Source organism: Homo sapiens, chromosome 2 (assembly GCF_000001405.40).
Source record: "Homo sapiens chromosome 2, GRCh38.p14 Primary Assembly".
NCBI classification, from domain to species: Eukaryota; Metazoa; Chordata; class Mammalia; order Primates; family Hominidae; genus Homo; species Homo sapiens.
In genome coordinates this window covers 214,586,046-214,611,413 of record NC_000002.12, presented here as the reverse complement: position 1 = coordinate 214,611,413, position 25,368 = coordinate 214,586,046, and the positions used below count along the sequence as shown (strand labels likewise).

Below are 25,368 nucleotides of genomic sequence, written 5' to 3'. Positions count from 1 at the left end.
CAAGAATGTGTGGTGGAAAGCTGTGCTCATGAGAGTGGAAATCCTAATCATGGCAGAGTGGAATGAAATTTCTCTTCTGGTGGCTTGTGTTCTTCTGACAACGTTGTACATGCACTTAAAAATACTAATTATTTGGCACTTAACCTAATTAATGAAACCTAAACTCCCATAATTCAGGGATCTAGGACTGTTACTCTTGGAAATGGCATAAGTCAGCATAACTATGAGGATGGGGGAAATAAGAGAAGCAATTTTTAATGGAAGTAGAGAGAAGGAAGGGAAATCCCTGTGTAACTATGGAACCAAATATGTATCACAATTGGAGGATGAGTCTGGACTCTTTCTGATCTGTAAAGAAAAGGAGGAATCTGCAGAAAAATGCTAACAATCTGATGCCTGAATTTCAAAGTCAGGAAACAGGATCAGAACCAAGGGGAGATAGAGTGCTGTGAGAACACCCTGGGGAGAAGAGTTGCTTGCTAAGGAAGTACACCTAACTCACTATTAATATTAATGTTCTGGTTACACAGAAATAGGATCACATTCCTGCACCTTAGAATTCCCCCAGGGTGTATTTTAGCTTGCCTTTCCTTTTCCATAGAGGCTCATGTTATCAATTTAATATGTAAACTACTCTGTCGGGGTTCAGATCCCCCACCTGGAAGGGGTCAAAAGGGAATGTTTGCCAATTTGCCTTTTGGAAAAGAGAAACTTACAAGACAATATTTTTCATTTTCTTTAAAATGACACAACAAGAAACATAAATACTAACAACATCAAAAGGAAACCATAAACCACATTCATATATATAATCTAGTATACACTGGCGACATGAGACACATGCGTTCTGAAAACTCACAACTGGCAAATTAACAGTGTATTCCCTAAATAAATCCTTCCTTTTCCTGTTCTCTGGAGTTCTTATGGGATTTATGCAGCAAAGTTTACCTCTTTTGTTTTTCAAAACCTACAAATGGGAATTTTTGAGCCCAACATTGCTCAGTTTTCAGTTTTTAAAGCCCACTTTGAAATATTTGTTTCAAATCTCAGCAGCACAGTTCATTGTGAGGTTCTCAGGATGCATGGGTTTATTTGTGAATGTCCTCATGAGACTCATGGTTTTAGAAGCAGAGGTGCTTCCTAATAATTATTGAGGAAATGAAAGAAATGCTGTTTTTTCATGATGATACTCTGGATACTCTTGCTTGTCAATGGTTTCCAGGACACACAATCACCTTCAGCTACCCCTACATAAAACAAGACTCCAGGACCCATTTACAAGCAGGTCAACTGAAAGGAGCAGAGGTGAGGATAACTTAATAGCAAAGGACAATCTGAGCATTTTCTCAATGCTTAGAGATCAATTGCCTTTCCACATAAAATGAAATGGTCATATTTATAAGCGTGTTCTCAACAGCTTCATTGTACCCTTCATTTCCACCGTGACTGCACATGTCCTATCGTGTTTCATGGGTGCCTTATTGGTTTTGTATGAGCTATAGAGCATTAGGCTATTGGGGCAAAATATCATTAGGTCTGGAAAAGGACTGGGTCACTAATGCTTTGTCATCAAGTATCATTGGACACAATTTTTTTTGCAACCTTTCATGTGTTTAAGTGATAAATATCAAATAAAGCATATTGGTGTGTGCACATGCAAAGAAGTGGCATTTGAAATCTGTTAGTGAAGTGATATTCCAATGAAAAGCAAGATATGAGTGCAGAAGTGTTTGTCACAATTTCACTACAGGGCATCCGTGATTGTTGGTCTTCTCTATTTTTGACTCTATGGCATTGGTGTGAAAGATAATCTTGGCCTGAGTTTGCTTCTTGGAATATTTGCCCATGGGTTTAAGTGGCCCAGCAGTCCACTCAATGCTTTGCAGAAGAGGAGGGAGCAGGGTGGGGTGTAAGGAAGAGGTGTAAGTGTGTATGGATGTTTCTGCCTATCTACACGTAATTTTAGAGGTGGAAGTTATTTCTACATTATATAATATATATTTTTATTCCTTCATGTAGTGGTTAATCAGACTTTCAGATTGCTTGGGTTTGGTTCTCAGCTTTTTGGCTTATAGCTTTAAGAACTTGGGCAGTTAATCTCTCTGGTTTTCAGTTACTTAATCATCACACAACTCTAAATTGTTACTCATTTTATTGATGGGGAACCTTGGACACAGAGAATTCCAAAATTTTCCTCAGTTCACACATTGAATAAAGTGGTAAAGCTGAGGTTTGCACAAGGTTATCAGTTTCCAAGTCCATGCTTTTTACACTACACTACTACCTTCAATTCATGTAAACACTTAGTAAATGCTTCATATAGCTGAGAAAGTTAGCTATCATTGTTATTATTCAAAACATATTTGTAGAGAACCATTATGTGTCAGACAAGCTGACAGTACCCCTATGGAAATGATGGTAGATTGGCAGAGAATGACGCTTAAAAAGCATACAAATGTGGCTCATGCCTGTAATCCCAGCACTTTGGGAGGCCGAGGCGGGCGGATCACGAGGTCAGGAGATTGAGACCACCCTGGTTAACACGGTGAAACCCCGTCTCTACTAAAAATACAGAAAATTAGCTGTGCGCGGTGGCAGGTGCCTGTAGTCCCAGCTACGCGGGAGGCTGAGGCAGGAGAATGGCGTGAACCTGGGAGGCGGAGCTTGCAGTGAGCTGAGATAGCGCCACTGCACTCCAGCCTGGGCAAAAGAGGGAGACTCCGTCTCAAAACAAAACAAACAAACAAACAAACAAAAAGGCATACAAATTAGTATCTAATTATAAACTATGATTAAAGGCTGTAAAGGGAGGATACCTGGAACTCTAATAGGAAATAACATGGGATTCTGACCTACTCTAAGAAGGGAAAGGCTTCCCCAGAGAAGTGGTATTTGAACTGAGATTGAAGAATGAGTAGGAGTTAAGTCGATAATGCAAGTGGGTAAGAAAGAAGTGGTGGTTAGGGGAGGTGTTCCAATGAGAAGGAAAAACAGAAGAGTTCATTTGGGGAAACTAAAGATGGTAGGTGCGTCTGGGGTGTCATGGCTGCGGGACATTGGAAGCACAAAATGGGATGGGAGAGGTTGGCAAGGAACAGATATTGCAGGACAAAATGTACACAATGTAAGAGTTTGGATTTTTTCTAAGTGTAATGGGAAGTCATCAAAGGCTTTTAAACTAAGGTGTAACAGGCTTGTGCTGTTTTTAAAAACATCATTCTGTCATTGCGATATTTACTCATCTCCTCCTTCACGTCTACAAAATCACCAGAAAGGGTGATTACTGAGAATACATACACGGACACTCAATCTACCCCATCCCTTTCTACAAATAACTTTTTAATAAACAGCATCAACTACTAATGTTGCAATGTTTGTTCCCAAAGCCCAGAAATATTCTAGGTGCAAATTTTCTCCTATTTTCCACTGAACTGTAAGCATGTGAGTTATAACTTGCTTACTCTGTTAGGAAATATTGTTATGTTACAACACTGTCACAGTACTACTGCTGGTCTTAGATGTTTTATTCCTCTTGCAAAGCATAATTTGTGGGTGTTACTTAATGTTCTGCCTTTGACCCATTTCCCTAATTTTTACACTCATTACACTTTGCTGTCTTTTTTCCATTGACTCAACTATAATTTTTATTTTACCCAAAATAGATATCTTAAATAACTGCTCTTAGTAGGTACCAGATTATGCACTGAGTAGTCAATGGTGAAGAAAATAAACACTGTTCCTGTTTGTGTAGAGCCTGCAGGTTAGATTTGGAGATGACTTCCTAATGCCCAGATCCACTGAGCCATTGGTCTGCTGAGCATATCGGAGGATCAACACATGGAAATTATGTAGCATGCTCCCAGCAAGCTTATGATTCCAGATTTCAAACTTCACAGCTTCTTAGGTGACACTCTATCCACTTTGTACTCTCCTGCCTATTTCCCTGCTCAGAGATTCTCCCACTTGAGCCATTTGGCAGAAGCTCACCTTGTCTTGTCCTCACATTCATTCTCTTTCTATTTCCAGAGCTACCGTCCTAGTTACATTTGTACTTAAATTATTGTTTTAACATCCTAACTGGGCTGATGGATCTGTGGTTACACTCTTCTTCAGTACTAGTTGCATTCTTGATGGCAGATTCATCTTCTTAAAGTACATCCTGATCATGTCGTCATCAAAACTTTTCATGGTGCCCACATTGCTAGGGAAAGAAATCCCAACTCTTCAGCTTCACAGTCCAGCTCTAAACTTTGAGTTCAGTTTTTGCCCCTCAGGCATCCCTCAGTTCAGTTAAACTGTATTACTGCTTTTCTCCAAACACGTCGCATGATTTCTTTCTTTTGTGTCTTGTGCTAATGAGGTTCTCTCCATCTGGAATTTCTTCCTGAAATATATCATCTGTCAAATTCCATCCTTCAAGACCCATTCAAAATGCTACCTACTTCATTAAGCCGTGCTTGAATTCCCCAACAAGATAGGATCTCTCTCGCTCTTACTTTTTTTTGTAAGGGGACAAATACTGATACAAACAGTTCATAAACAGATGTTCATTTCAGCAGCTATTTATTAAACTATCAGGTTAAAAGAAAACACTGCTCCAGGTATGCTTTTTTGTTTCTCATGCATGTATGTGTCACCTTCTATCTTATAATCCTGTAAGCTGAAAGCTTATCTATTGATGTTACAAAAATTTGTGCAATATTTTCTAAGTCTAGGCACTCAGTCCTTGAATGGACAAAAATGGAAGACTCTTGAGTCCATGAATCAGGTGTTTGTGAAGAGAGATTATCTCAGTGTGGGCCTGGCAGGATATTTAAAATGTGCAATGCAGACATACGTTCTCTAACTAGTGTAATTATCATTTTTATATATGAAATAATGTGTATCTGAGTGCTGATGGAGCTGGAGGTATAAAAGATGGCAAGCCCAGAGTACAAGCTCCTGTCAGTGGTGGTTAGTTCACTATGGGCCTCAGCTGCACCCATAAGTGGTAACAAGGGAGGCAATGCTATTTGTTTGTATCAGTCTTTGTATCTTTGTCTCTTGTATTTACTTTTTTATGCTTACTTGCTGCTTTAGAAGTAAAATAAAAACCTATTTTGAATTTTGTCCAGATGATCATTCTCACCCGGGATATATCTGACCAGGGACTTTAGTACTCTATTTTTGAACAGCCAAGTCTCACAAAGCTAGCAAGCTGCCTTTGGAACTGAGCGCCACAGGAAGCATCTTTGCCTTACTTCAGGAGCTACAAAGTCACACTGGGCCCTGCTGGGCCTTTCCAGCTTCAGAAGCAGAAACATCACACTTTTTAGATCAGTGGAGAAAAGGGAATCTGGTCCTGTGACTTCGGTTCACCTTGCACATTTCTCCATATGCAGATAACCCTGAAGGTCACTCTTCTTTCAGGGGGACGATGATTCTCTTCATTTAGTTTCCATCAGGAGGAATTTTTCCTTAACTCTCCGGGATTCTGTGCACCGTCTCTTCTCTCCACAGAAGTAAAATGAGTTATGTAGGTGGTGGGTTGATTAGAGAAGTTAATTTATTAAAAATCTGTGCAAGGTGGATTTAGCATGACATGAATAAAACATTAGGCCCCTCATTTTCACAGAGCATTTCCAAGGCCCTGGCTAGAGACTCTTCGATTCAAAGAGTGTTTAAGATTAGTGGCTATAATGAAATATTTTAAATGCCCTAAAACCCTACAGCTTTTATATGAATAAAACCTAATAGAAGTTTCCCTAAATTCAACAACAACCCTACAGGCACTTTTTGTAAATTGTCAACAAAAAAAAAATCACCATGCTAAAGATGAATTATAAATTCTCTTTCTCCAGAAAATATTAGAAAATTGTTACATGGAAAGGCAATCAAAGGGTATTCTGTGGGAAAAAAATTAAGGGGAAGGAGTATTGGAAAGGTGATTCTAATCAATTAGTTAAAATATTATGTTATTTTGTGGTTTGTGATATTTGCTAGCACTAAATGTTAAAATTTGGTATGATTTCTCTCACACTAAATGGATATTTACTTTTGAACCTAATTTTGTATTTTTTTAAGGTCTGCAAATTTTATTAGCTTCAATAGACATAAAATTAAATAGACTCGGTCAAATTGGTATAAAAACATCAAAATGCTTAATCTCAGTTTCTATAATAGTGATTCTGATTGTCATCTCAACTACAGATGGATGACAAAGAGTTTGCAGACTAACACTGGGCCCTGGACCATACTTTGTGTAGCAATGTGGTAGAATAAATATTTGAAGAAACAATTTCAGGACTGTAGCTCTTAACCCACAATTCTAAACCCAAACTACCAATCAAGTGTGATGACAACGGGATAATGGAATGTTGAGACTTAACGTAAACAACTTGTCTTCTTGAATTCTTTCTTAGGAAGCTACTATGAGGCACTTAAGCATGATAAAGGAATAAATCAAGAAAGTACAAGACCAGGCCGGGCGCAGTGGCCCACACCTGTAATCCCAGCACTTGGGGAGGCTGAGGTGGGTGGATCACCTGAGGTCAGGAGTTCGAGACCAGTCTGGCCAACATAGTGAAACTCCATCTCTACTAAAAATACAAAAAATTAGCCGGGCATGGTGGCGCATGCCTGTAGTCCTAGCTACTCAGGAGGCTGAGGCAGGAGAATCGCTTGAACCTGGGGGCGGAGGTTGTGGTGAGCCAAGATTGCACCACTGCGCTCCAGCCTGGGCAACAGAGTAAGACTATGTTTCCAAAAAAGGGCAAGATGAGAGATGGGCACAGTGGCTCACGCCTATAATTCCAGGAGCTGAGTCAGGAGGATTGCTAGAGGACAGGAGTTTGAGACTAGCCTGGGTAAGATAGTAAGATTCTGTCTCTACAAAAATAAACTAGCTGGCTGTGGTGTAGTCCCAGCTACTACTCAGGAGGCTGAAACTTTATTCTTTTTTTTTTTTTTTTTTTTTTTTTTTTTAGTATATCTTAAAAGTATACAGGCTTCAAGCTCCTGAAAGCCTGGATTCACTCCCGGCCTCTCCACTCTAGACCAGCATGTCTGCTCTGCAGATCCAAACTTCCCCTGCATGGGCTATTCCAAACACTAGATCAGTGGGTCTCAAACTTTAGCTTGTGTAAGAATCACCTGGAGGGTCTGCTCCAACGCCCAACTCTCCCAGAGTGTCTGATTCAGTAGGGCTGGGTAGAAACTGATTTGTATTCCTAACATGATTCCAGGTGATGCTGAAGCCAGTACTCCCAGGGCCACGCTTGGAGAGCCAGTCTCTAAATCAAAAGTCCTCAACTCTGGGTGAACAGTAGAAACATTTGAGGAGCTTTAAAAGCTACTGATGCTGGGGGCATATCCTTAGTCAGTCTTCTGATTTAATTGGCCCAGGTAGGGAATATTTCACAAGTTTTCCAGGAGGTTCTAATGTGTATCCAAGGTTGAGAACCAGTAGTCTAGACTGGGGAAGGAGTCAGCTCACTTAGGTAGCAGATCTAAGCTATGCCTTTCAATATGGCATTGTCAGTAAAAAGGGTGACATTTTATATATTTATTGTGATGTATTCCAATAGTGATAACACATGAAGTCTGTGAATGAAATCAATTAAGGGCCTTTGTTTTGTGAAACGATTGTACATATTACACTAGCTATAGCTCTTGATATTTTAGAAATATATCAATATATATTTAGAAAATTAATATTTTGTTTTGAAGTTACTTTTGGGTTATGATACAATTGATTAAATGGAAGACGTTATACGGGATCTGAGTGAGTTCACAATCTTCATTTCTGACTAGAAGTTGGATCTTACAGAGTAACTAGTTTGGTGTGTGCCCTCGTGTGCATAATTTACCAAGCTCTGGAAATCTGAAACAGTTTATTACTAACACTTTCTAAAATTTTACTTTAAGTTCCGGGGTAAATGTGCAGAACATGCAGGTTTGTTACATAGGTATACGTGTGCCATGGTGGTTTCCTGCACCTGACTTGTCCTCTAGGTTCCCTCCCCTCCCCTGCCACCTGCCAACAGGCCCTGGTGTGTGTGTGTGTGTGTGTGTGTGTGTGTGTTGTTCCCTTCTCTGTGTCCATGTGTTCTCTTTGTTCAAATCCCACTTATGAGTGAGAACATGCGGTGTTTGGTTTTCTGTTCCTGTGTTAGCTTGCTGAGGATTCTTAGAATAATACTTTTTAACTTTTGATTTTATCTTTTTAATTTATGCTATTTCTCTATTTGATCTGGCTTAGCAGCTGTAAGAAAATGTATTCCGACACTTATCTGTTTATTTATTTTTGAGATGGAATCTTGCTCTGTCGCCCAGGCTAGAGTGCAGTGGTGCAATCTCACTGCAGCCTCCACCTCCCGGGTTCAAGTGATGCTCCTGCCTCAGCCTCCCGAGTAGCTGGGATTACAGGTGTGTGCCACCATGACTGGCTAATTTTTGTATTTTTAGCAGAGATGGGGTTTCACCATGTTGGTCAGGCTGGTCTTGAACACCTGACCTCAAGTGATGCACCCGCCTCAGCCTCCCAAAGTGCTGGGATTACAGGCGTGAGCCACGGCGCCTGGCCTATAACACTTCTTAAAATACTCAATTTATTTTTTTCTCACTAGAAACGACCTGTTAGGCTCATTTGCTGAAAACCAAGAGTATTGTGGCATCTCTATACTTCTCTTTAGCAGGGCCCTGCACCAGGGCTCTGCACCAGCTGGCCATCCTGTAGTGATCGGTGGCTTGAGAATGAAAGTAATTTCTTCCTTCAAATATCTGGGTGCCTCATAGAGATGGGAAGTCTTGAACTACATATTCTATCTCTATACTTATTATTCCATTTGGAAAAACATGTCACATAGGGCCAAAGAGATCCAGTTATGCTGCAGATTCTGGTTAAATGAATACCTGATGAAGCGATAAACCTGTTTTAAAATGAATTTGCTGCTCCCATCAATTCCTTCCTACTCTGTTGCAAGCCTGAAAATGTATCAAATAATGAAACTTGATAATCTGCTCCTGCTAAATGCTACAACTAATGTCCCCAGCTGCACATATGGTGAGCCCTTTATTTAATTTCCAATTTAAAAAAATCCCAAAACACTCTGTAGAGAAATGTCTTTTCCATCTTTCAGGTTAATGTATTAAATCTGGCTGTATGTGGAACTTAAATAAATTGTATCAGGTTATTTAGACAAACATAGAATTAATTTACATGAGGTACAGTGTGACACTGCCATTAATTGTGATACAGTAGAGGATTACAGAGGGAGAAAAAAAAATGCCTGATTTCTGTGGCTGACTCTACCACTGGACAGATAATCCAAGGAGCACAAGTTTCAGACTGGGGAGTTCTGGAATTTGGCAGTTAACAGGTCACACCTGGTGAGGTTATCTTTTTCACAGGCTTTTGAACTCCATGTGAACAGTCCCTGGGGTGAGGAAACATATTTTGATCCCAAAGTCATTATCAAATTCACCCCTCCCAGAACTTTTATCCGAGTGCCTCATTTTGCCCTGGTGAGAGATTAGCATGCCTCATAAGAGCATTGAAACTAATTGCTACAACAAATTAATTAATTACATGCACAAAAGGAGTTATTCCCTTGCATGGAGAGGGCTAGAAGAGACAGCATATATCACTCTTAATAATTATAATGAAATAATGTATCTTGTTTCTGTAGGTCTTCAAAAATTGAAGGCTTAGGTGTGATTTTATTGGTGACTGGGGATGAGTTAAACAACCTTTCAGTGTCACTCTTCATTTGCTGTTTTTTGATACCTGCACAGCAGATTTCAAATCATAACTGTGAGTTATAATTATGCAACCATATGAAAATGCAGTGTTAACCCATCAGCAGTAGAAAATGGATTTTCAGTTTATATTTTTTCCAGCTATGATGATGAGTTTAGACTGAGTTAGCCCTGCTTTCAGACCCCACCCCCTTGGTGACCAGTAGTATTTTTTTCTGAGATGACAGCTTAAGCCTTCAGTAATGGATGTCTATTGCTTTGCCTTCCACTTCCCTTCTGATAACAGCACCTCAGTGTTTCTGTGGAATATCAGCCTTTGACCATTTCAATCCCCATGATCGTGGGGGTAGGGGATGTTGATCCCCCTCTTAAGCTCTGGGCAGGTACATGGACCAAGCATGGTAGATGAGGGTGCAGCATCTACAGGGACACACTGACTGGGTTAGGAATGGGCATGGAATCATGAGACCTGGAATTCTTGCTGGGAATTTTAGAAAAGAGAAATGTTGTATTTTTCTTCTGGCGTCATTGCTAAACTAGCAGGATATAATTTGAGAGGCTCTGTTAGACCTCCGTGCCACTATCTGAAGAGCCTGTTGGAAGAAAGTAGACCGAGAAACAGAAGGGGGCAGATGACTCTGGATCTGGCTGTGCCTGAAGTAGACACCTGGACTTTAGACATTCGGAAGCTAAAAATCCTTTTTTTAATTGGATTGAACTGGGTTTCTGTTATGTGAATACAAAAGAGTCCTCTCACACACAGTTCTCTGGTCATCATTCCTATGAAATTTAAAAGGAGACAATTGTAAATAGAATTCCCCAAAAGTATATCTGTATCAAAGAGTCCAATGCATTGTTCTCTGCAGTAAAATTCACAAGAATTCTAAGGCCCAAGGGTTCCTGAGGCAGGAAGGAACTGAGAGTTTCTCACTTTAAAAAAGAAAAACTTGGAAATTTGAAATGTGTTTCTGAGAAAGTGGGAACGTTAGCACTCCGTTCTGTATCAGAATGTTTTCATTTACAACCAAGATATGAGTTAAACAAAAAATGAGAGACAAACATTTCTTTTTTGCAAAGTTTATAAATCGATTATTCTGTAGGATGCCCAATATTTTACAGAGGAGACAGATGGAATGGTTGCCAAATGGAAATAAAATACTTGTAAGTAGAGTAGTGCCCCCTTATTCACAGGTGGTACATTCCAAGACCCCTAGTGGGTGCCTGAAACTGAAGATGTTGTTGAGCTCTATATGGAATGTTTTTTTTCCATACATACATACTTATAAAGTTTAATTTCTAAATTAGGCCCAGTAAAAGATTAACATCAATAACTAATAATCAACTGGAACAATACAATGACAGTCAATCTGATGACCAAGATGGCTACCGAGTGACGGAAGAGTGGGTAGCATACACAGCAGGGAGACATTGGACAAAGGATGACTCACATACCAGATGGGACAGAACAGGCTCATGGAAGGTTGCATCAAGGTACTCATAATGGCATGCAATTTAAAATTTATAAGTTGTTTATATCTGGAATTTCCCATTTAACATTTTTGAACTGCGTTGACCATGGGTAACTGAAATTGTGAAAAGTGAAACCTCAGATAAGGAGACACTACTGTCATGATTAATCACTGGAAATGTATTTGGAACTATTTTAATATGAAAGTTCATTTAATTAGGTGGAAAACAAGTGTTCACATGAGAATATTATTGTAACCCCAGGCTGCAGTATCTTCATATCTTTTATTTGAGTTTACCGTTGTCTTTCTTTGGTTTGTGTTGACTGTTTGAATCTGTTAAGATTTTTATTTTTTTTAAGTGTTAATCACCTGGTCATGGAAGTCTGGAATAACATGAGAAGGGCTGTTTGAACTGGGATAAAGGTAGCCTTCCATTGCCTCTTTCCTGCTCTTAGATGACCATTTCTGGGACTCAAAATAGAAGTCATGTCTTTTGAATAGCCAGTACCCTGTTTTTTATTGGCTTCAGTTGTTCCCTGGGTCAGCGGGTATCAGCTAAGAGCAGTCTGTGTGTGGGAATGAGTGAGGCTAATTAGCTCTGATGGGAATCAAATGTAGGATCTTGGCCTTATTAGCATTATCCTCTATCCACCTGAGCAAACTGGAAGTAGAGCGACAAATGAGAAGTTGGCAGGTCCAGCCTTTATTTTGGCCACAGGCTTCACCAACACAGGTGTCATATTATATCTGAAAAGGAAGGAGTTGAAGTCAGTAACCTCATTCTGCCATTTATCAGACCTGCCCACTAACTTTTGACCAGTTAGATAATGCCAGTAAGTTAAAGTCACTTTTAATTGAGGATGAGCTTAACCTTTAAAGGCAATATTTTTTTCTTTTTATGTATTTTAGGTATCGACTATAATACTTCAGGTGTTGTAGATTGAATTGTGTTTCCCCAAAATTCTATGTAGGAATTCCAACCCCTAGCACCTCAAAATGGGACCACATTTTGAGATTGGGCCTTTATAGTTAAGGTAATTCAAGTAGGCCCTAATCCGACATGACTACTGTACTTAGAAATTTGCACACAGCTACTCACAGTGGAAAGATGACGTGAAGAGACAGAAGACAGCCAGCCGCAAGCCAAGGGGAGAGGTCTGGACCAAACTTCTCCCTCATGGCCCCCAGAAGGAACCAACTCTTCAGGAACCTCAATTTTGGATCTAGCCTCCAGAACTGTGAGGTAATACATTTCTGTTGTTTAAGCCACAGTGTGTGGTGCGTTGTTATGGCAGTCCTAGCAAACTAATACAGAAAGCCAGTGTCTTAGGCCTTGTGCCTCAGGATATCTCATTCACCCTTTCTCTGCAAGGTAGTTATTACCTTCTCATCTAAAACTCAGGAGGCTTGCCTATGGACTCACAGCTGCCTGCTGCAAGAGATTGGACTTAACCTGTGTTTGACTCCAAGTTGAGTGGTTTTCACTTTTCCAAAAACAAATCCAGGAAGCTAAGGGAAATGCACTACTTTCCTTAAAAAGGAAAAATATGAACATTTTGAGTGTTATACACAAAAAATAATGTTATAAACACCCATGTACCCGCCACCTAAATTTAATAAATGTTAACATATATTTCCCTTACATCTTCTTAAATAAATAAACGATTACAGATACTTCTCTTAGGCTTCTGTCTGTAGATCATTCCGTTTTCTCCTCCATAAAGGCAAACACAGCCACTAATTTGATTTATATTCAGTTCCTATTTTAATATTTTCATGATACATTTATCCATAAATAATGTGGTATTCCATGTATTCTTATAAAACAAAATAAATGGTATCATACAATACATGTAATTCTATAACTTTTCACCTAGTATGGTTTTGAGCCTTATCCATGTGGACATAGATCTAGCTGGCCTACTTTAACTGCCCTGTCATATCCTGTGACATTTACTCTCTAGTAAAAATAACCTGCACAAAGTAATGCTGCAGCGGAAATTATTGAGTTTGTTCTTTGCGTGTGTGTGTGTGTGTGTGTTTTCCTTAGGTTACTATATGTAGAAACCAAATTGATGGGTCATGAGTAGGTATTTCTCCATTTTCAGTAAATATTGCCAAATTGATCCTGAAGTAAGTAATGCCAAATCACAGTTTCACTTAGTGTATGAGAATTAATGTTTTCCCACATTTTTGGTATTGCACACTTTAAGCTTTTGATTATCTGATGTAATTTTAAAGTGTTTTGTATATTTATCTACTTAAACACAACACACACAGACACATATATACATGTGTACACATAAATATATAGCCATAAAGCACATAATACTGCCTCCAGGTTTTAAAATTATATACTAAAGGTGTATACATTACATATTATACTATAACTTGCTTTTTTCACTCAAAGTATTCATGAGATTTATTTAAATTAAGATGTATTGTTCTAGTTCGTTCACTTTCACCACTGTATAATAATCTACTGTATAAACATATCTCAATTTATTCATTCTCCTCTTGATGGATATTTAGGATGTTTCTGATTTTCTAGGACATCAGTCAATATTGCTGTGAACATGCTTATGTATGTCTCCTTTTACCTACACGTGAAGGTTCTTCATATGCCCAGCAGGGAAATCGCTGTCATAGGATGAATATGCCTTCAGTTGTACAGATAATGCCACATTGTTTTGAGTAGTTCTATTATCTTATAATCCTACCAGCAGATGAAGAAATTTCTCCTTATTTTATACTCTTGTCAACATTGGCTGTTGTTAATGTTTTCAGCTCGTGTGTATCTCATAGGTTGAAGCAATATCTCATTCTGAGTTAAAGTCAGTATATGCTGCCAAACTGGTAAATAGGCAAAGCAGCCCTGACTTGTAGCATTTGTCCATTTCCATTGTGTAAAACTTCCCACATGGCCAGTTTCAGGTTACCAACACGACAGCACTAATGTGGCAATGCTGACTTGGGAAGAGATGGGAACGATCAACTTTCCGATGATGGTTCAACCTTGCCTACTTTGGGATGCCAAATTTATGCTTAAATTTAAATTTAATTAAATTTACATTTCCCTGATTACATTGAATGTCTTTCCATATATTTTCCACTATTTATATTTCTTATTCTATGAAATTCATTATTCATTGATCTAAAATGTTTCCACTCCCGTAAATTAAATGTGTAAGTGGTTTACAGGTGTTTCAATCTGTTTCACTGGCATATTTACTTATTTATTCATCAATTTCACACTATTTCAAGTTACAGTGATAAAAATATCTCCCCATTCGCCTTTTCCTTTCTTGTTCTTCATCAGAATCATTTGGTATTCCTGACAGAATGGCATAGTGGTGTCAAGGGCAGGGACACTGGAGGCAAATGGGGGAAGAATCTTCATTTTTTATTACTATTTGTTTGACCCTGTGTAAGTTTTTACTCTCTCTGTGCCTCTGTTTTCTCAGGTATAAAATGGAAATGATAGTGGAACCTATCTTATAGTTAAGGTTATTGTGGACATAAAAGAGTTGTTATTTTTAAAGTTCTTAGAATGGTGCCTGATCAACAGAAAAACTATTAAGTATTTGCTATTATTCCATAAATACCTTTAGAATCAACCCATCAGGTTTCCTAAAACATAATACTAGGATTTTCTTTTTTTTTTCTTTTTTCAAAATTTTTTTATTTCCATAGGTTATTGGAGAACAGGTGGTGTTTGTATATGAGTAAGTTCTTTAGTGGTGATTTGTGAGATTTTGGTGCGCTCATCACCTGAGCAGTGTGCACTGCATCCTATTTGTAGTCTTTTATCCCTCACGCCCTTCCCACCCTTTCCCCTGAGTCTCCAAAGTCCATTGTGTCATTTTTATGCCTTTGCATCCTCATAGCTTAGCTCCCAATTATGAATGAGAATATACAATGTTTGGTTTTCCATTCCTGAGTTACCTCACTTAGAATAAGTCTCCAATTTCATCCAGGTCATTGCAAATGCCATTGATTCATTCCTTTTTATGGCTGAGTAGTATTCCATCATATATGTATGCCACAATTTCTTCTTCTTCTTCTTCTTATTATTATTATTATACTTTAAGTTTTAGGGTACATGTGCACAATGTGCAGGTTAGTTACATATGTATACATGTGCCATGCTGGTGTGCTGTACCCATTAACTCGTCATTTAGCATTAGGTATATCTCCTAATGCTATCCCTCCCCCCTCCCCCCAAATACTAGGATTTTCATTGAAATTTTATACATTAGCTTGGGGGACAATCACCATCTTAATAATAGTGGGTTTTCCCTTGCACACAAATAGTATATTTCTACATGTATTTAAGTCCTCTTTACTTTTTTTTTTTTAGTAAGGCTTTAAAATTTTCTTCAAAAATTTATGTAGATCTTTTGTTATATCTCATGCAAGGTATCTTTTGTTCTTCATCATTGTTGTGCCTTAAAATTCAGACATTCTCTTCTATATGAGTTTCAGACATTCTCTTCTATATGAGTTTCAGACATTCTCTTCTATATGAGTTTCAGACATTCTCTTCTATATGAGTTTCAGACATTCTCTTCTATATGAGTTTCAGACATTCTCTTCTATATGAGTTTCAGACATTCTCTTCTATATGAGCTTCAGACATTCTCTTCTATATGAGTTTCAGACATTCTCTTCTATATGAGTTTTAGACATTCTCTTCTATATGAGTTTTAGACATTCTCTTCTATATGAGTTTTAGACATTCTCTTCTATATGAGTTTTAGACGTTCTCTTCTATATCAGTTTTAGACGTTCTCTTCTATATGAGTTTTAGACGTTCTCTTCTATATGAGTTTTAGGGTCAGTTTAAATTTCAAAGAATTTGGAGGGAATTTTGATAAAAACTTTATTGAATTTGTAAACTAATTTTGGGGATACTTTTCTCATATTCCCTTTATGAACATGTTAATTTTTATTTAGAATTTTTAAAGTTCTTGATGACCATCATGCAAGACATGAGTGTTATGCTTAAGTACCTTATATTTTCTGTTGTCATTATAAATGAGATTTTTATTGCCATTACATTTTCTATTTATGACTTGGGGAGAAATGCTATTAATTTTTACATGTTCATTCAGCTGCTGAACTGCATAAGTTTTTATTATTTGATATTTTCTTGATTTTTCTATGTAGATAGTAACATCTGCAAATAATGACAATTGTGTCTCTTTTTTTGTACAACTCATGTGTTATTTCTTTTATCATTTTTTTGTTGACTAGGAACTCCAAGAAAATGTTGAACTATAGGAGTGGTAGAAGGTAATTGCGGATATTTCTTTTGGTAGTACACCAAAACTAACAGTTCATGGCAAGAAGAAATCTGAAATCATATCAATAAGTTATTCTGTTACACATGATATCCATTGGTGTATCTTGTACCACTTTGAATAGATCTTCTTCCTCTGCCTGATTTTGTAATACTATAGTGTGGAAAAAATTACATTCATTAAGATAAACACTGATCTTGTTAGAACAGTCTTGAAGTACTGTAAAGCTATCAAGCTCAGGGTGGTGAATACAAGTTTTGCAAAATTCGAATTTTCCAATTTTCACTTGAAAAGTTGAGTTTTATCATTGGCAAGAGATACTGCTAGCTGTCACTTGTTTTCCTTGAAGTGATAAGACTTGCTACATATATTCTTGAGAAAAATGTATGCAGAAAAACAAACTTTGATAGCTATAGTTTGTCCATCAGTCATTCTTACAAGTAAAAATCATGTTCCATGAAAAAAAGTGGTAGTTCATTTTACAATTCAAACAATTGAACATAGCTTTTCCTTAAGGTAACTTGAGTACTTTAGTATGCAGCAGAAAGTACTTTATTTATAATTCCCATTTTGTCACACTGCATACTAAAAAGACATGTACTCGAGGATTGAGTTTTAATATAATTAATATCGTTTCATGAAGGTCATTCTTATGCAAAACTGGCTTTTGGGAGCTGAGTGAGGGGGTGGCATGTGTTTTCTGCAAGTGCATGTGAAAAATGCAGAACTCATGGCACATGAAACTTCATTCAAACTCTTGCACTTTGAGACCTGACAAAACTCTGGCATGGCTTCCAGTAGCATAACACCATGTCCCTAGGATGACTCCAGTCCCCGTTAAAATGCCTGCCTGAGAAAGTTCATGCTGCCAGAAAAGCTTACTATTTGTTCTAGCCAACACACACAGAATGATAGGCCTCTGACCTCCCTTTCTTAGTTCACTAACTAAAATGGGCTCAGGATTGTAAATACATAGCTCTTGCTGCTCACTGGGAGGCCATTCCTTTGAAATGCAGTCATCAAAAAGGATAAGGCCTCTCTCTCCCAGTCTCTGTGGGAGGATAGAACCTTAACTTAGATAACTACCTGCTAGCAGACACAGCTGGCCTACTTACCTTCACACTGACTAACCCTTTGTACTTGTTCACTTCTCTGATTCTGTTGAGTCCCTACACTGACCCCTTCCTCATTCTCCTTTTAAAACACCCAAACCACCTCTGCCCAAATTGAAATAGAGCTTGACTGTTTCCCCTACTGTGAGTAGTCATTGAATAAAATTTGTTTTCACTGTTTTAATTAATGTCCAATTGTGTCTATCTCTGACACATAGCAGTGAAAAAGACCACTAGTATAATTTAGTGCTACTGCCTTGGTTTGAGCAGTTTTACCCACTGTTGCTTTTGTAATATCAGTGCAAATGTCAATACAATGAAAACAAAATAACTTATAAAATTATAAAAATATTATATTATAAAAATATTTTTAAAATATTATAATTATATTATAAAATATTATAAAATATTATAAAAGTATTATAAAAATAATTTTTAGGGCCAGGAGTGGTAGCTCACACCTGTAATCCCAGCACTTTGGGAGGCCAAGGTGGGCAGATCACCTGAGGTCAGGAGTTCGAGTCCACCCTGGCCAACATGATGAAACCCCATCTCTACTAAAAATATAAAAATTAACTGGGTGTGGTGGCACACACCTGTAATTCCAGCTACTCAGGAGGCTGAGGCAGGAGAATCGCTTGAACCCAGGAGGTGGAGGTTGCCGCGAGCTGAGATCATGCCACTGCACTCCAGCCTGGGCAACAGAGCAGGACTCCATCTCAAAAAAAAAAAAATTGACTTTGTATATCTTTTCTAATCCCTTTATTTGAATTTTCAGTGTTTTATTTTAGGTGTTTTTCTTATAATATGCTGAATTGAAAAACATCTTATTTAATCTTTTATTAGGTAATTTTAAACCTTTATATTTGTTGTTACTACTGGTTAATTAAAACATTTTACTTTCTATTACCATGTTATTTTCTCTTACTCTCCCCTACTCCCCTGTTATAACTTGGATTGATCTTTTTTCTCAATTTTTTTCCTCCTGGTTTAGAAGTTTGATATTTGATTCTAATTTTCATTTTATATATTTTCTAAAGCAGTTTAATGTCATCGTCATTACTATACCTTTTTACTTTTATACTTATTTCTCCCTGTTTTATTCCAGGTGAATATTTTCATATCTACATTCAAATTATTACTTTGGCTATATCTAGGAAATAACTTAAAACATACTGAACTTTTTATTTTAATAGCTAATTTTTGATTTCCAAGAATTCTAATTGGCTCTGTTTTCTTAGCCTATTCTTGATTCATATCTGACATCTTCGGTTTTATAATTTTAGTTTTTGGTTTTTTTACAGATGTTATTAACTTCTTTGAGGATATAAAACATTTCTTCTTTAAAGTCATTTTAACATTTCTTGATTGAATTTACTTTCGTTAGCATTTCTGTGTTTCAAATGCTTAAAATTTTAGTTGGACAATTCCTTTTCACATTCTCTATAGTTATTCTTTCCTGTCTATAGTCTGCAGACTCAGTATCTCCTATCTAGAGCCAGGCTTCATACTGATGCCTCTGCATTTGTGTCCCATGGTGATAATGAAAACAATACCGACCTAATCATAAGCCTTCAAGCTTGGCTCGGGTCCTACTGGCATGGCTGTTTATGCTCTCTATAGTTCCCCTCCTGCTGCCAAGTATAGTTTCATATAAGCCAGTGTCTTGGGGATTGGCACAGGCTCTCCATTAAAATATATGCGTGTGTGTATATATGTATATATATATGTATATGTGTGTGTATGTTATATATATACTATGAACAATTCTGGAATCTGGTTGATCTAGTGGCAATAGCCTTTCCTCACCTCTGTCTGTTCTATCGTATTACTAGCTCTTGTGCATGTTAATATACTGAAAAATATTAATGTTAAAATTTTTTAAAGTATCTAATCTATTAGTATTTGTGTGTGTGTGTGTGTGTGTGAGAGAGAGAGAGAGAGAGAGAGAAGGTTGCAGCATTAATTCAAGGCACCATCTTGACTGGAAGCCTTTAGGCTATTTCTATAGTAAGTTCTATTAAATAAAAATGTCAACAAAAATGGTGATACAACAGAGATAGAGGCACTGGACTAATTAGTAAAATATTTAGAACAGAGACAATTATGCATATTGAATTCTCTGCAGCACTCGCCACAATGTCTTGCATATAATAAGCACTTAGTATCCATTAGATTCTTTGCATTCACAGATTTGACACTTGTGGTTTTGAATTTTCCCAAGTGACCTCCAGAGGGCTCTGAAATTTTACTGCTCCCAGCATGTGCATCTCAATATGACTGTGGTTCTTCTTCATCAAGCAGTCTTTATTGTGCATCACTAAGTGCTTATAACTACAATTTTTGTATGTGTATAAAATAAGAGACATGGTTTTATAAAAATTTAGTAGTAAACTTAGGAGTTGAGAAGGAAAAGGAAACAGGTTATTTTCAATAGAATGTGATTTTGGAGAAAATCAAGATCCATGCAAAAAGTTCTGGAATATCAAATTTAAGGATATGTAGAGGACTCTGGAAGTATTGCTGATGAATGCCAAATGTCCACTATAAATATTTGACTTGAAGTAATTTGAATTCATTTTGGAATTTGCCTATGTGATACAATTCGAGAAACAATAAGATTGTGCTGTCCCTACATTCCCAAATTATATTCATTGTGATATTTCATCTTGAGAGATTCATTACTTTGTGCCAAGTATTTCCCTTTTCCTGATGACATATCTTCACATTTATAAGCATCTGTTATTGTGAAGGGAGTGGGCCCATTGTCATCAACACTTTTGGCTAAAGGTTTTCAGGTCCACTCACTCCACATTTATTGAACATCTCTTATGTGCCAGAGACTCTTCTAGGTACTATGGTCAATACAAGGATGAAAATTGGCTGTCTTGCAGGAGCTCAAAGTCCTGGGGAAAAACGGATAGGTTGAAATATTAAAATATAATGTAATAAGTACTGTTAAAATGTATGAAAAAAGCTCTCCTCTGATAGCTTATAGGAGGACACAGTAAGTGATTCCAGGAGAAAAAGGAAAATATTCAGAGAGGAGATCATATTTGAGTCTGCGAAGTACCAGTAGGAATCTGCTTAGTAGGAAGAGATGGGAATGACTCTTCTCAGCATGCTGAGGATTTCTGAGGATGCTAAATCCAGGTCTGGAAGGTAGAAAGATGGGGAGAGAAATAGGGCTCTGGGAAAAAGGTTGGGATGTCAAAGACAAAGTCTGTCTTATAAGAAAACTTTTTTTACAAACAACCCCATCAACAAGTGGGCGAAGGATATGAACAGACATTTCTCAAAATAAGACATTTGTGCAGCCAAAAGACACATGAAAAAATGCTCATCATCACTGGCCATCAGAGAAATGCAAATCAAAACCACAATGAGATACCATCTCACACCAGTTAGAATGGCAATCATTAAAAAGTCAGGAAACAACAGGTGCTGGAGAGGATGTGGAGAAATAGGAACACTTTTACACTGTTGGTGGGACTGTAAACTAAGTTCAACCATTGTGGAAGTCGGTGTGGCAATTCCTCAGGGATCTAGAACTAGAAACACCATTTGACCCAGCCATCCCATTACTGGGTATATACCCAAAGGATTATAAATCATGCCACTATAAAGACACATGCACACGTATGTTTATTGCAGCACTATTCACAATAGCAAAGACTTGGAACCAAGCCAAATGTCCAGCAATGATAGACTGGATTAAGAAAATGTGGCACATATACACCATGGAATACTATGCAGCCATAAAAAAGGATGAGTTCCTGTCCTTTGTAGGGACATGGATGAAGCTGGAAACCATCATTCTCAGCAAACTATCACAAGGACAAAAAACCAAACACTGCATGTTCTCACTCATACGTGGGAATTGAACGATAACACATGGACACAGGAAGGGGAACATCACACACCTGAGCCTGTTGTGGGGTGGGGGGAGCGGGGAGGGATAGCATTAGGAGATATACCTAATGTTAAATGACGAGTTAATGGGTGCAGCACACCAACATGACACATGTATACATATGTTACAAACCTGCACATTGTGCACATGTACCCCAAAACTTAAAGTATCATAAAAAAAAATCTCAACCCAGAAAAAAGATTTTTAACATGACACTAGGCCCTATTTCTACCCTGAGTGAGACCTCAGTAATGTTTTTGTTTTTTATAGGATGCCTGGGGTAGAGTAAAGATAATACTACTCTAGAAACTGGGAGGTACTTAGCTTCTAGACAAGTTTCGCCATGTATTATGTTATTGTGTGCTAGCTTTGTAACTTTTTGGAGCTTCAGTTCCCCCAGTAAGATATGCAATAACAGCCGCTTTGTTACTATAGTGAGTTCATAGAATATAAAATTAAATAGCATATGTGAAAATTTGTTGAAATTGCAAAATACTGTACAAGTATATGATTAAGTATGAATGTTGTTCAGCAAGCTATTGAGTCTGATCAATGCAGGGATCACCGGAGGTGATGTGTCCGTGAAGGACAGGTGTGAGGCATGTGGGCTAGTAAAACAGTATAGGAGAATTTTTTCCCTGAGTACATTTTCTGGATTGCTTTTGATCTGCTGCCAGGATGAGCTCTCACATACTACATTCATGGTCATCCCGACTCTGATTCTACTCCAAATCTGCCATTTTGCAGATAGAGCTATGAAAGGGGATATGGCCACTGGTGGAGATATGCAAATCTATTTTTATGATAAAGAAGCAATCTAAGGGAATGCCACTTGGCCAGGAGGATCAGGGGCATTACCTTTATACATAATGACTATTTTAGTCATGAATAAAAGTTATTTAAGCTGTTTCTTCTTTAGAAAGTACTTGTAAATTCAGCAGAAACTGGAACCCACATCTCCCATTACACTGTTGTCTATATTTTGGGAGAGACAACATTTCTACTTTTGTTTCCTGTGGGTGATACAAAATTAGCTAAAGACTAATAAGCCAAAGCAGTAACCTTGAATTTTGTGAAAGTTACGGAAAACGTAATGCCAGGAGTTATATATCTGCAACTGAAATTAGTCCCAGTGCACCCCTTTCACTCTGATTCCGGGCATGCCGATAAAATACCAGGAGACATGCAATACAACGAAAATTGGTTCTTTGGGTATCTGAGCATCTTGGCTTAGAAGAGATTTAACCTTGGCCTCATGCTTCCCGAGGGGCCTGTTGCTGACACTGCTTAAGTGCTGGAACTACCAAGCAGCATACAGAATTTTTCATGTGAGTGAAATTAAAAATGAAACATTCAAAGTCCTATTGATTCTAGATGTGTTCTATATGCATTAAATTGAACGTAATGGACTGAAAAATGAACATTTCAGCATGTATAGGTAAGACTTATTTGTGTGAGAATATATTGCTGTCATACCCTTTATCCAGCAATATATGTATTTATCTACATTGATATGTAATGCTAAAGCATTCTGTTGAATCTTTCAGAGATAACAGAATCAATTTTCACTCACTTTACTTAAATGTTGCTCATCATTAATCTGTAATTAGCCTTTGACTTTTCTTCTCTAAATATAGGTGGACAAGATTTAATGAACACTGTATTTTGACCATTGGAAATACTGAGTAAGATTCTTAGCATGAAGAGAATGTAGAAGAACGTATGGCTATACAGTATCTATAATCTGATCAGAGTCACAGCATGTCTTCATTTGGATTGTTTCTATGTGTTATCGGTATTCTCCCAGGTCTATAGTCTATTCTTACGCAGTCTTACCTGCTTATGTTTCTGTCATCTATGTTCTTAAAACTCCTTCACTTGCATTCCTGTCTTGATCTTGGCCTTGAACTTCAAACTCAAATATCCAATGGACTATTTGGGAGAGATACTTAGCTATCTTGCTGTCACTCAATGTCTAAAGCTCAGCTCATCATATTCACACACAACCAAAACTATTCTTCCCTTGTATTTCAAAGCTCACTCAAGTTATACTGCTTCTTCCCTTTAATTCCTTTATTCAGTTTCCAAGTTCTCATAATTTCATTGCTTCAATTTAGCGTAAAGGGTCCAGGTGTAAGTCTGCTGCTCCCTAAAATGGGAGCTGAGAAAAGAGATGGCTAGGAGGAGTGGGTGGTGGGAAGGTCAAGGTGATCCAGGACGAGATCAGGGCACACAATTCCCGCTAGGAGGAGCTGTTCTCAGGAAATGCTTTGGCACTCTCTCCAGTCTCCAATGACCCCACCCTGGATGCCATGATGCTTTTTCCCCTCTCTATTTCAGGTCTGATTTTTCTGAGCTTGCCTGTCAGGGAGTCTTGCTTTTTTTCTAGGCCACTGAAAGGCTTTACTGAAGAGTGAAAGGAGAAAATGATAATTGATGAATTCAGCTAGAAGTGATGAAATAATACAAAGAAGGGCAAGCCCTCTTCAAAAATAGAAACCTGGCCCCACATCTGCTTAACTTTACCTCCTGCCTAGAAGCAGCTTCCAATGGAGGAGTCTAGGAAACTCCTAAATTAATGTGTTACTAAATTTCTAGAAGAAGAAAGTGTAAGTTTAGAGATTTCTCCCTGTTTCTTCATATTCTCTGATCTTTGGGTGAGATTTTAGTTTTTAAATACTAATTATACCTCACCTAGGAAATAAAGGGTTGTAGCTCTGTCAATGACATCAAAATTTTTTTTGTAAAGAAAAATATGGGCAAATCTCACAAGCGAAATTTTGCATGGAAGGTGCTAAGTTCAAAAGATACACACTGCATGATTCTATTTACATAGTTTTATAGCAGGCATAAGTGAGTTTTGCTACTGGAAGCTCAGCCATTCTTGTTGGGGTTATCCTTGGTGGCAGTGAGGATACTGCCTGGGAAACAGTATGTGGGAACTTCTGAGGTGCCAGTGTTATACCCTATATACCCTGTGTTATAGGTATACTTAGAGTGTGTACACTTTTCTGTATAGTCTAAGTAAAAAGTTAAAGATGTTCATGTATTCCCATGTTCATTACAACCCCATTCAGAATATCTAAAAGAAGCAACCTAAATGTCCATTGACCAAATATTATTTGGCCATTAAGAAAGAAGGAAATTCTACAACATGAGAGAACATGAATGAAAGTTGAGGACATTATGCTATGTGAAATTAGCCAGTCACACAAAGACAAATACTGTAATATTCAAATACTGTAAGGTGTCTAAAATAGTCAAATTCATAGTCAAAGAGCAGAATGGTTTCCAGGGTTGGGTGGTGTGGAGAGGGAGAAATGAGGAGTTGCTAATTAACAGACATAAAGTTTCAGTTAAGCAAGATGAATAAGTTCTTGGATTTGTTGTACATCATTGTACCTATAATCAACAATAGTGTATTATACACATAATTGTTTAAGAGGGTAGAACTCATATGAAGTGTTCTTGCCACAATAAAATGAAAAGATGTTCACTTAGAATAAATCCTTTATATAAAGAAGGAAAGCATTTGGCCTTGCACACATGATTCTGATGATATCTACAGAGCCATGAAGAAGTGGACCTTTACGATGATCCAGTTTACACATAAATCAGGTCTTAAATTACTTTGGGCCAGATTATTCAGTTCAACCTCAGTTCTGGTGATGCTAAGTATGCAATTGTTCAAATTAACCAATTTTAAAAATCTATTTCATTGTGAACCTAAGAGGGTTAGAAAAAATATTTCTAGTTGTATTTCAATGTAAACATAATACATTTCCAATATACTCTTTTATTTCTCCAGAAGATAACTAAAGAAAATAGTATAG

General features: G+C 37.6%; 1 annotated feature.

Annotated features, from left to right (window-relative positions):
* Nucleotides 17,173–17,813: an enhancer, noted in NCBI's record as "OCT4-NANOG hESC enhancer chr2:215458325-215458965 (GRCh37/hg19 assembly coordinates)". NCBI's record gives its function as "activates a minimal SCP1, AML or CMV promoter by ChIP-STARR-seq in naive H9 embryonic stem cells {active_cell/tissue: H9 hESC(naive)}" and the evidence as "EXISTENCE:reporter gene assay evidence [ECO:0000049][PMID:30033119]".